The 12,753-nt window shown below is 40.6% G+C and overlaps 1 protein-coding gene across 6 annotated transcripts in view; it reads right to left on the bottom strand.

Annotated features, from left to right (window-relative positions):
• The window catches only part of GALNT5 (polypeptide N-acetylgalactosaminyltransferase 5), a 60,787-nt gene extending 48,301 nt beyond the window's left edge, over window positions 1-12,486 (bottom strand). For 4 of the 6 annotated variants that reach the window (XR_007068940.1, NM_014568.3, XM_017003237.3 and 1 more), the window contains exon 1: window positions 10,655-12,486. Coding sequence is in view for 4 of the 6 variants with exons in the window: in NM_014568.3 (NP_055383.1) it covers window positions 10,655-12,108 (1,454 nt within the window). In the remaining 2 variants the exon portion in view is untranslated. Of the gene's footprint in view, window positions 1-3,334; window positions 3,416-10,654 lie in introns of all 6 variants that reach the window. The other 2 variants (NM_001329868.2, XM_047443070.1) reach the window with 2 other exon arrangements.
• Window positions 12,487-12,753: the final 267 nt, after the last annotated feature.

Raw genomic sequence — 12,753 nt, 5'->3', positions numbered from 1 at the left:
AGGTTTGAGGGGACTGGTGTAAGGTGGTTGAATGTTCCGGCATGGGCTCTGGGTCAGGGAAAGAGGAAGTAAAGCTAAGGGGAGTTTAATAGCCTGAGTGAAAGGGAGGGTACAGAAGAAAACAGCTACAGCCTATGACTTCCTCATCTCTAACTTTATAATATAAATTAATGAGAAATTCACATTTCACAGTTACATTTTTTTTAATGGTATTTGGTGCTGAAAAAAAAATCAAATCAGTTCTGAAAAGAAAGGATCAATTACACAAATTCGGCATAAACCAACAAGCCCGGCTGTGAAGTCCTGAGAGTTGCTTTATGGTTAAAATTTGGTTGGTCTGAGAAACATCCAGTGACAAAAGGAATTGTATCAGGAGGAGTTAACTAAGCAGGCTCATGCAAATGACTCTTCCTATATTTTAAATTAGTAGAGTTTTTGTCCTTTTTAGAAGGAAGTTCTAAAAAGTGCTAGACAGTCTAAAATTGGAGGTAAGAAAAATTCTCAGAAATTTGAGAGATTTGGGGAAGACACCTCTAATCACCAAATATCTAATCCTCTATTCCCCCGATTATGTCATGGTGCCTTAATTTCACTATTAGTACCCTACATGGGCAGATCATGAGAGATTCCACTAGATGCTAATATCCCAGCAAATAAGTAGTACCTCTGCCAATTGTTGACAAATATATATCTTAGATGTGTTTAAAGAATTACAATGAAGAAATTCTGTGGAAGATTATATGGTACAGATCATATTAGTGCCTGGTAAAAGCAATATTACAGGATGGGAAAGAGGGACCCAAAAGAGATGCCTGAGATTTCCAATACAAAGTTTCAGGGTGTGCCTTGATTTGGGGTGACTGACATGTCAAGGCACTCTGACATTTACAGAGACCTGTTCTCCTGCATTACTAAACAGATTAAACATGTTTCCGGGTATCTAGCAAAACTAGTGTGCTTGTTTTGTTCAAAGGAACAGTGGGAAACCCCCGCAAAGCTTTCAGCATTTTAAACTCTTACTCTAGTCTTTCATACTGGAAGAAAGGTTACTTGCTAATGTAATAGGGTAGGGGCTTGAGGAGAATGGAGAATATTCTGGGCAGACACTATGTCATCTAGTTGGCATAGGTTGTAAAAACCATTTCAAGTTATCCTACACCAACCTAATTCAAGCAAGTTTCCTTTATTTCAGTTTTTCCTTAATTTCTGCCTATATCATGGGAGGAGAAATTGCTGCTAAAGTCTAATTTGAATGCCAGATATTTCTAGGTTTGTAACTTTTTTGAGGCTAAGAAATCACATTTATATTCTATATGCCTATTTATTATACAAATTAGGTATTTAGAGTCTACTGGTCCCATGCTATACTTAAAAAATTAATCCAATCTCTTTGTCTTGGGGGGGAATCTAGGCTTAGATTACTGCAGCCAATCCAAGTTCTAAAAACAAATGGGGCCTCTAATGTGGGGAGTTTCACTATCCTGCACTTAGCTGACATACTACTGTGGTGGACAGAAAGACTCTGGACTTGAGAAAGATGACAAGAGACTAAGTTTTTAGTTCATTCTAGCATTTATTGGCCCTATGGCCATGGGCAAGTCAGTTAGGCCCCTAGAACCTTAGTTTCCTCACTTTTAGGATGAAGATTACAATGCCTTCATCACAGAACAGTGGTGAAGATTTGATGAGATAATGGATGTAAAAATATTTTGTGAGCTTCATGCTGAAAAACTCATGTGAGAACCTACGATTACCCATAATGCAAATACACACATTTTGAGGGAGCACACTGCCTTTTTCTGAAGCAGTCCTTTAATCTGAATCTATCAAGTGCTCAACCATTTATCGAGAGACCCAGAAAGTGATGCGTCCCACCCTCCTGGCTTCTGTGTGCTGAATGCTGAGCCACTAACCTGATTTGAATGTAGCCTATCAAATAGAGAAGGTTTTAAATCATAAGATTGAGGGAATGATAACATTCTCTCATTTCTATGAATTTTTCATTTTATTCCGAGACAGTCAAGATGTACTATGTGGGTCAAGTCTCAGCCTTCACAGGTTTGAACAGAAGGTCAAGGAGAATATTTTCTTAACTTCTATTTGCAATTCAACTACTGCCTTCATGTGAGCCTTCAGGGGCCTTCACTCCCCAAGCACTGATGTCTCAGGAACATCAGGAGGAGAATTGAGCACACAGCTGAAGAGCTCTGCCTGGGATTTTATTCTTTTCTCCCAGACCTTAGAATTGTTGGGGCTGCTTTCCCTCTCACTGATAAGAAGGTACAGTGATATAAAAACTGTATTTTCATGTTTTGTTCTTTCTAGGGTAGACTATCCATGACATTCAGTCAAAATCACCTGGCTACTGATTCAGAAAATTTAAGTCACACTCATCACTTCTACTCCAAAGTTCTTAGCCAGCTGCGGCTGTGGTTGCCATGGTAAATGTAAAGTCATCAAAGTGACAGGACTCAGGCTTAGAAATATAAGCCACCAGCATAAACATTCACCACTTCAACAATAGTCTGTTTTGAGCAGGAAGCTGTCACAGTGAAATTGGGACGGCAGGGAGAAGAGGAGGAGGTGGTGTGATGTGGCAGAAATAGTACTAGGTGGGGATGTTCTGTCTTTCCTGCTGTGTATGACCTTGGGCAAGTCATTTTTCTCCTGGAACATTGTCTGTAACATAAAGGACTAGATTAGAAAACTTTCAAATCTTCACCTAGTATTAACATTCTGTGGTTTTCTATGCAACTTTAGCATTTACCTGTAAGTGCTTTCCTTTGGGTCATAAGTCCCCTGAGAAAAGGCAAATTAAATTGTTATTTCTATGGTCTTAAATCATTTAACGGTTTCCCACTGGCCCTTGGAAGAACCTGAAGGTCCTGAGTGATCTGGACTCTACTTACTTCTGTGGCCTCATTTACGTCCTCATTGCTCTCCTGCAACCCATGTCAGATTTCCCTCGATTTCTCAATGGATCATCCTTTTTACTGCTTTCTCCATTTCTCTGACTCTCTACTCTTTCAGGTTGCAGCTCAAACATTTTTGTTCTCTCCCAGGACAGGTTTAGCTTTTTATCTCCTTTTTCCCAACAGTCCCCTGTGTTTCGGCATCACATTTTGCTGTATACGCCTTGAAGTCAATGACCATGCTCTGATGCCATACTTTGCAGTAGCAGCCCAGAGAGATTTGTTCACTGCAGGGCTGTGGTTATGGCCAAGTTTTAAAGAATCACCTTTGCTTAGTGCTATATAGGAAATGCTTTCCTATAATTTTTTTCTCTGATGAGGTACATGTCATGCAAACTTAATTCCCATCATGCATCTCTTACCCATGTATAAGGAAGAGAGGTGTTTTAATTTCTGCCAATGTCATATGACTATAAGGAAACAAAGGAAGGAAAAGCTGTCACCTGTGGAAAGAACACTAGAATTAAAAATTGGGAAATTTTCTTTTGAATCCCAAATTTGCTATTAGTTTGCTGGGACAATGGATAAATCATTTATTCTTTTACAGTCTCACTCTTCTCAACTGTAAAACATATGAAAGTTAATATCTCATAGGGTTGCTGTGAGGATTGCTTAGATACAAACACACACACAAACACACACACATAAGTCTACATGCATACATATATGCATACACACACATCACTGACTGAAACAAAACTAAGCATTTTCTTTGTGTGTGAAGCTGAGCAATGGAGGGATTCCCCTTTAGCACAGGGCCTTGGCAAGCTAAGGAGACTTGCAGGTGATGATGGTCACTACGTGGGGAGAGTTGCTGGAGGTGGAGAGGGAACCAGACTGGTGCAGTGGAATTATTACTGAGTGAGGAAGAGTCAGAAAACTAGAGGTTGGGTCCCAACATTGGCACTTGTGAGCTGTGAGGCCTTGGGCAAATTACTTTACCATTTGCTCTTTTTTCCCCCCTCATCTGTTAATAAAGAGAGGTAACACTTTGCTAATCTGGCATGGCCACAAGGATCAGATGAAATAATATGCCTGAAGGATGAAAGGCCTCAACTGCCTGGCATGGCGCACCGCTCCTGATTGATAGGCAATGAGCAAATATCACGTGCAATGAAATGAACTGCCACTGTCTGAAATATCTGCTATTATCTGAAACCTCAGCTTCCTCTGTCTCAGTTTTTCTATAGGTAAAGCTGGGATGATGATAGTATCTACCTTGAGGAATTGTTTTAAGGATTAAATGAGAAGGCAAGTTGTGAAGCCTTTGTAAACACTGTTTCCTCATATTGCTGCTTCTCACACATGTCCATATTATCAACATTTTAGAAGCAACGCCAGTTGAGGAGGTACTTGAGTTTGGTATAATATAGCTGTTTTTCCAGGAGACTCTAAAAAGCTCCTTTCATTTCGAAAGCAAACAGCAAAATACAGCTTCTAAACATTGCTATTTTCCCTGAATTTTCTGAACCTTGAGCAAAAAAGTTGTTTCTCTCTTGAGAGGCTCTGTTCTGATTGGATCAGCCAGAAAAGCCCAATAGGAAGTTATTTTCAGGGCCAAGAGTACCAGGGCAATATTACAGCAAAAGTTTGATATATTATGCTGATGGTTAAACTGGGCCTTGTGTTCCGTATATGAAAAAGTATACTTCTTTCAAATTCCTGCATATACTAACTACTCTCTCCCAGGAGTGTTTCTAGGGCTTTCACAGTATTTAGGAGGAAAAGTCAGGAATTCACTTTAACATTTCTGTTTTCTATTAATTAGGCACTGTTTAGCTGTTTTCTTTTTAGAAAGAAACTAGTAGCAGAATTTGAACTAGTAGCAGAATTGTGCTTTCCATTCTTCTCCTCTAATCTTTGTTGTCTTTGTTATTCCCTTTGTTATAAGGAGAGTGGGATAAATAAAAGTATTCAAAGGCCCAGTTCATTGTCCTTTGGCCATATTTCACCTTCATTATGTTACAGCCTAGTCTGAACCCTTTTAACAAGTTTTCCTTTTTATGTCCTGCTCTCCTACATGACTTTTGAGTGAAAAAGAGTACTGTGCTCTAACACACAAACACAAATGCTCACAAATGCATGCACGTGCACACACAAATGAACACATACACACTATTCAAAAGGCACCACTGCATTGCTTACCCATAGAGGTGAAAGCAGGAAGTAAATCCTTTTGAATTCATCTCATGAGGTTTTTTTTTCCCTGCCTCCAATTGGTTTCTCAAGGAGATCTCATAGCTTCTCCAATCAATTTTAATTAATGTTCTCCAATCACTATTAGTCACAAAATCACGTTCATTTCATCAATTAAGATTTGTGTCCCATGTAAAAATTAAAAATTTAAATTTAATTTAACTTTAAAGTTTCTTTTTTTCTCTCAGCCTGATAAACTTTTAGAAGCTCAAAGTTTGGGAGGATACCTGATCACTTTATTTTCTCTCTTCTGTCTCCTCCCCCTCCTCCTCTTCCTCCTCCAGTAACTCATTCGTTATAGTTTTTGACCCTACTAGGATCAAAATTAAGGTTCCAGAAAGTTTTTCTTTCCCCTCAGTAATTTAGATTGGTTTGTGGCAAATGCATGGTGCTATCTTTTGCTTTTCAAATGTGCCAAAAAAAAACCTTTCTTTAGCTGTGTAGGAAGGAATCAAATTATTGGTTGACAGTCCTGGCTCTGGGCTAAGAGAATAAAGACCATTTTAATTGCTTTATTGAGGGGCTTGCCAGAGTTTTGTAGGGAAAGCAAAGCATTAAATTAAGCAGTTGAGTAACGTTATGAGGACACAGCAGTGGTAGACAAGCACGCCAGAATTCTTATTGTACTTTAAAAACTAAATGCTGGCAGCAAAAATTCCTTTGAGTCATTTTTCTCTAAATTCAGATTCAGGAAGTGCACTCTTAAAATAAGTTCATTTTTGGAGTTCCATCTTAACTATAGCTTCAGGCCAAAAGACAGACTTCTCCAAGTAGAACTGCCCTGCATAGGATCACATTTTAGCAAAACCTGTGTGTACGTGTGTGTGTGTGTGTGTGTGTGTGTGTGTATGTGTGTTGATTGTTGCTGACAGAAACAAACTTCAATCATTAGGAGCAAGAACTGAAAGGATTAGCTTTTAATTAAAAAAAGATTAAATATGGAACTTTAACTGTCAAAAAAGCATTTTATTTCAAGCAAATTTTATAGGCAAAATTTCTAGGCAACAATGAAGTTGTATTTTACATACTGACGTAAAACATTCTTGTAAATAAAATAGGCTTTCCTCTCTTGAAAGCCAAAACATTAAAATTAAGAACCAAAACAATAACAAAAATATAAAATAAGGGATAAACACAAATTAATGAATAGATTATAGTGTTAAACAGAATGTATTTGCCTTAAATCAGATTTTAATATCTTCTATATATTCATAATGAAAAATTAAGAAGTCATTATTAATTTATAAACAGACTTGCTGCAGGTTTCATTTGAATTGCTACCTTTTGATTATTTTTAAAGTAGTATCAATTTTCAAAAATCATTTCAGAGAAACAAATTGTAAATTCATACTGTGTAAACCTGTTGCTTCTGAATGTACAGCACTGTGATCAGTGCTAAAGGAGTACAAAATAAAGCTAAAGACAAAGTTTCCTTCAGAAGCTTATAATTTCACTAGGAAGGAAAAACAGACGTTCAAGGATTCAGTTAATGAAGAACACAGAATAAACAGTGTTTCAGTAACTAGGATGCCTGTGTACACTAAGAGTAATTGCAATTTAGAGGTCACAGCTACCTCATGGTCCAGGTGGAAGGAAGCCACAGTTGGATTCTGAGCAACATTGAATTAGAATGTGTGCAAGAGAATGGTGAGGATGGAGGGAGGCTGTGGGAAGGGACCAGTGAATGAAAACCTCAGTGGATGGTTACAACTGTAAAGGGTGGAGAAGAGCAAAGAGATTAGCTTTTCTTATGCTAAGGGCCCAGCTTGGAGAAAATGTCATGTGCAGGGTGCTATTGCTATACCACAAAGGGGAGAAACATGGGCAGACAGAAAAGGACAGTGTGAGTAACCCTGAGAACAGAAAGGAGTTCTTGTGCTTTAGAAAAGAGGTGTGGGCCGGATGCGGTGGCTCACGCCTGCAATCCCAGCATTTTGGGAGGCCAAGGCGGGCAGATCATGAGGTCAGGAGATCGAGACCATCCTGGCTAACACGGTGAAACCCCGTCTCTACTAAAAATACAAAAAATTAGCTGGGCATGGTGGCGGGTGCCTGTAGTCCCAGCTACTCGGGAGGCTGAGGCAGGAGAATGGTGTGAACCCCGGAGGCGGAGTTTGCAGTGAGCCGAGATCGCACCACTGCGCTCAGCCTGGGTGACAGAGCGAGACTCCATCTCAAAAAAAAAAAAAAAAAAAAAAAAAAAGAGTTGTGAAATTGAATCTTAACATTTTAGCAATGGTCCTTTGGGACTCCAGAGAAAACGGAGTGAAAAAGCAGGTTTGGAAAAGAGAATCTGATTTTAGAACTAGAGTAAGAGAAGTTGTCCTGGAAATCCCTGCCTGTCTCCTCTACCTTTTTATTGTTGTTGTTGTTGTTGTTGTTGTTGTTTTCTGAGACAAGGTCTTATTCTGTCACCCAGGCTAGTGGCACAATCTTGGTTCACTGCAACCTCGACCGCTCAGGCTCAAGTGATCCTCCCACCTCAGCTTCCTGAGTGGCTGAGACTACAGGCATGCACCACCACCCTTGGGTAATTTTTAAATTTTTTTGTAATGATGAGGTCTCACTATATTGCCCAGGCTGATCTCAAACTCCTGGGCTCAAGGGATCCTCTAACCATGTCCTCCCAAAGTGCTGAGATTACAGGCTTGAGCTACCATGCCTGTCCTCTACTTCTTAATGGTAACCTCACCCTAGCACATCAGCTCATTCATCTTTAAGATGATGTTAACTACCGACTAGTTATTATCTTCACTGGGTGAAGTTGAATTTAAATGATTATACCAAATCTGTGCGCTTTTTTTTTTTTTTTTTTACATTTTTTGGTTCATTCTGTATCAATGAGCAGTTGTGATATGACAGTTATGTGTGAATTCATCTATAACAGTGGATTTTGGGGAAATGAATAGGCCAAAAAGGAAGATATTCTCCAAAACTCTTAAAATTTAAAGGTTGCAGTAGGATGCTACTCCAGCTAATTTTAAGCTAGCCCTCCTGTATTCTTACAGTTATTTCTCTCTCTCTTTCTTTCACACACATGTACTCATTTTCTTATTCTATTTTATAACAATTTCCCCTTATGCTGACTTCGAAAACTTATTATCTTAAAAAATCTTATTGCATGCATTCCTGTAAGCAGCTACCTCAAACGCTTTTTGAGCCAGGCTGAAAATAAATAAAGCCAAATTTAAAAAAACAAAAACAAAAAACACTCCAAATCTTGCCAAACTGATGAATCAAATGTTTTTTGATTGTATTTTCTTTAACCTTTATCTATATGAATACATAATTTACACATATTTATAGTCAAGGTGTTTGGGTAAAAGAACAAAAAATGATTTATCCTCTTTCAAAGAAGAGGACTACAAAAGGACTGAAAAATACTTTGGGAGGCCCCAGGTCCAGGATCCCTGGTGGTAGACCCCTGAGTGGAGCGTAGCATCCGCCAGGCAGCTTGAGACACACCTATATTTAGCCAAGGTGGGTTATGTGATAAGAGGGAGGAGGCCTGGCCACATGCTCTCTGACTCATCCTCTCAAGCACATGTGTCAATTTTTCCTACAGTTGGGACAACCTCCTTCAGAAGACAGAGCCTGACTGTAACTTTCCTGGGCTGCAATGCTTAACTTCTACAGAACAAAGTATAGAAACTAAGAAGCACTGGGAGTCCCCGAGCTTTCAATGAGCCACACTAGTGATAACATCGTTATTACTTGCTTTGAGCACCCCCACCCCCGCCACGCATGTGCCTTTTCTCTGGTTTGGAACTGGAGCTTGTGCTTCTGTGCAGTGTCTAATTCCTCCCCAGACTCCCTAGCAGCCTGCCAGGTCAATAAGGGCATGTTAAAATGAAACTGCTTTAACGGCTACTTCATTTCCTTGCACTTTGTGTTCAAAGCTGGCATGTGTAATCCTGTGATACACAGGACTTTAGATTAGAGCTGGGCCAACACAATTTTTAGGATCCTTTTTGAGGGGAGATTGGCAAGAGATGGAAGAGAGTGCAGAATAATTTTGAGCATGAATTTTAATCATTTCTCTACAATGACTAGCTTTGTGACCACAGGCAATCTAGCATCCCAGGGCCTCAGTTTCCTCATCTTTGAGTATGTCTGCATTCTCCTCAAGACTGTGATTATCACCAGGGTGAGAAGCGTGAATGGCACAGTGCTTGGTATAAGCAGTGCATGGCTGATAGCTGTTTGCTGATGGCTAAGAGATGGAAAACGACCTGGTTGTAGCCGACATCACAATGAAGAGACTCTTCTTTCTAATGTGGATAAAGCTTCTCCTGTATCTGCCTTCCTCCTAGTAACACTGACTAAAATGTAATGCTGACTACCTAGATCACAAAGAAGAATTTTCTACAGAAGCCAAACAAGGCCATTGTTTACATGCCACATGTGCTAAGTCTCAATCTTGACATTCCCCAATCCAACTTCCTGGCAAATATTGTTTGACTTAGGGAACTGAGTTAACAGATATTGAACATACGGCTGTTGAGTACCTTCACTTATCAGTGGGCCAAGAAAAAAAATGCCAGGAACCCAATTATATTTGAATCAGATTAAATATCTATGTTTTGATCCACATCTGGTGATATAGTTATAGGAATTTAACTTTTTGAAGGACTGGTTACTGAAGGCCCATTGGGCAGCTTTAGAACTGCATTACCTTGAGAAAGTGTTGTAACTTCTGAGCGCCCTCGCCAGCTTGTTAATTTGAACCATAATGACTGCCTCCTCCTTTGCAGGGCTCATATGGAGTTCATCTATGTGTATGCAGGCTCTTTGTAAATAGTGAATGTCTACAAATATAAGTGATTATTATTATGCTTTTTATACCTCCTGTAGGTGTTTGCTGGTCATGGACTGATTGACTTTTTCCAACATTATGATTCCTATGTAACTGATCTCCTGAAATATCTACCATCTCCACCTATAAAGGAGATTAAATTTTAGGGAGTAAAGTCACTTCTCTTGCTATCCTGCTTATCATTACTTATGATTAGGCAGAATTCTGCTGGTTAAGATATGATTCCAGGGAGGCCTAGAAGAGTCCTTCTGTGTGCTTCTTTCCCAAATATATTCCTGACAAACTTGCTAATAATGAAAAGTTCCAAAATTGGGAATTCACTTCATTGTCACTATTCTAATGGAATTACACTTTAAGCTCTACCATTTATATACACGTTATTATGAACTGAGTTCATCTAATCATTTTAATAGGTTTTCAACAGAGGGAAGAAAATTGAACATGAGCTAATGGTAGGGACCAAAGTCTCAGAGAACAAGAACTCTGCAACTGCTAATAAGAGAATTTTTGTCTCTGTAGCTGGTGAAATATTTGAATGATATCCAATGATTAATGTTTCTTTAATTCTCTAGGTGACCAAAAATCACACAGAATTATCTAGCAATAAATCCTCTTTACATAACAGCCAAAGCACTTGGGGTTGAGGAAAGAGAAGAGAAATAGGTCTTACCCAGCAGGTCTGGTGTCTTCAATGGCTCTATCCACTGGGATCAAATCGCTAAGGTAGACATTGAAGTTTCCTTCTTTCCATCTTCTTTCTGCCTCCTTCTCCTTTCCATGGGGGACAACTACAGGACGCCCAAACTGCCCTGGAGCTTTGGGGTCCCTTGGAGAAAGTGTCACATCAATTCTTAACACCTGGTGCGTTCCACTGTCTTCAGGTAAAAGGGCTTTTATATGACTCTGGTTGTATTCTGTAGAGGGGGCTTTGGCAGTTATGTTGATTTTTGCTGGCTCTAGCCCTCCAGTTAAAGCATGGTTAGTTTGGGACAGTGGCACTCTATGTGGAGCAAGTGAAGAGGAAGACATCTCACTTCTATTCCTGGAAATGTGTTTACTTTGGCTTTTACCCAATACTTTAGGAAATATTGTTTTGGTTTTAGAATTAGAGACCTCTTTGGGGTCTGCCTTTTGCTCTTCCTCTTTGGTTATAATCACAAGATGGCTTTCAGAGAAATTGAGTTTCTTCCCATGAGCCCCTCTAGCTCCATCATCCTTTGACAAACTTCCCAAAGGTGTCTCATTAATAGATTGCTTCCTTAAGCGATTTGAATTGACAGTGAACTTAGGAAAAGGAAGACTCGTATTGGCTTTGTGTTTATTTGCATTGACTTCTTTGCTCTGAGTCTTAGTTTTGTTTAAGGCCATGGCTTCCCCAGACTTCGGCACTGCTGTGCTGGCAGGGTGTGCCCTCTCGTTTGCTACTGCCTGTGATCGCTGCTTTGGTCTATCAGTACTAAGACTGATGGTCACATTCAAGTCCCTTTCAGCTGCTAGTTTTGATGTGTCACTGCTGGGACTATGACTCTTCCGGGGCTCCTGTTTTAAACTGACACGTCCCATGTGTACTGATATTTTGACTACCTGAGTTCCTTTTGCTGCTATGAATGAGGTCTTTGGAGCCCCCTGAGCTGTCGTTTGCTTTGGTGTCCCCTGGTGAGAGGAGGCTTCAGGTTTGGTGCCTCTCCCGTCTGTCTTCTGCTTGTTAGGAGTCACAGGGAGGGTCTGCAGATGTGCAGGATGCCACAACGGCACAACCTTGCCCCTTCCCAGGGCATTCTGCATTTTTCTTTCCCTCTGGGTTTGGTCCAAGTCCACCTCAACCTTGAGCACACTCTCCTCAGTTTTTCTAACATTCTCTTTGCCCCATGCCCCTTTCCCATGTCCCCTTAGGGGAGGTTTCATCTCTTTTATGCTGCTGTAAAAAATTTTTCCTTGGTCTGGCTGAACTCTGAATCCTATCCGCTCCCTCCTCACAATGTCTTCCTTGATGACCCGAGTGTTGATCTCACTGAATGAGAGGCGGAGAGCTGCCATGTCAAAGAGGAGCCAGATGACAGAAGCTACAAAGATAAATGCCAAGACTCGCCCACTTCCTCGGAAAAACTTTCGGATCCTGTTCATGGTACAAAGCTTTCCCTAGCAGCCTGCCCTCCCTTAGCCTGCTTACCTTGAGTGGAGAGGAAGCTGAAGTAGCAGCAGCAGCAGCAGCAGCAGCAGAGTTGCCAGAAAGTGACCCCCTCCCCTGAACACAGCAGGAAGCAGCAGTCCAAGGGGAAAGCTCAGTTCCTACCGCTTGTCAGTCTCTGCCTGCGTGGCATTTCATAGCAGAGCATCTGTGCCTGCTTGGCTGGCCCTGGCTAAGTTCTGATAAACACTGGCCTTAGGTCACTCCAGGAGCAGTTGATTCCAGCCACCGAACAGTTCAACATATCACTTGTCTTGTCTCCGGGAGCCCATGTCCACCTTCCTACAAGCCCAAGAAAAGGTGGGGGCCAGATTGAGACTGCCGTTTCTCTCCTCCCCGTTCTCCGTCTGCACGCTGTAACTCAACACCACTTCTCATAAGGAAAACATTTCATGCCATTACCCAGAAAACTTCATTCAGCTCTCACCTTCTGTGTTATGTGAGAGCATGTGTGTTTAAACGGCAATTAAAGAGGAAAAAAAGCTATCTAACTTGGAGGGCATGTGTTCCTGGTTTGTGACCCCACCTACCCTACTCCTGCTCATTAACCCTGTTGTAGCCAGGTGCCAATGCTCTGCCTG

This window comes from Homo sapiens, chromosome 2 (assembly GCF_000001405.40).
Source record: "Homo sapiens chromosome 2, GRCh38.p14 Primary Assembly".
In the NCBI taxonomy this organism is placed as follows: Eukaryota; Metazoa; Chordata; class Mammalia; order Primates; family Hominidae; genus Homo; species Homo sapiens.
This window is presented reverse-complemented; position numbering and strand designations above follow the sequence as displayed.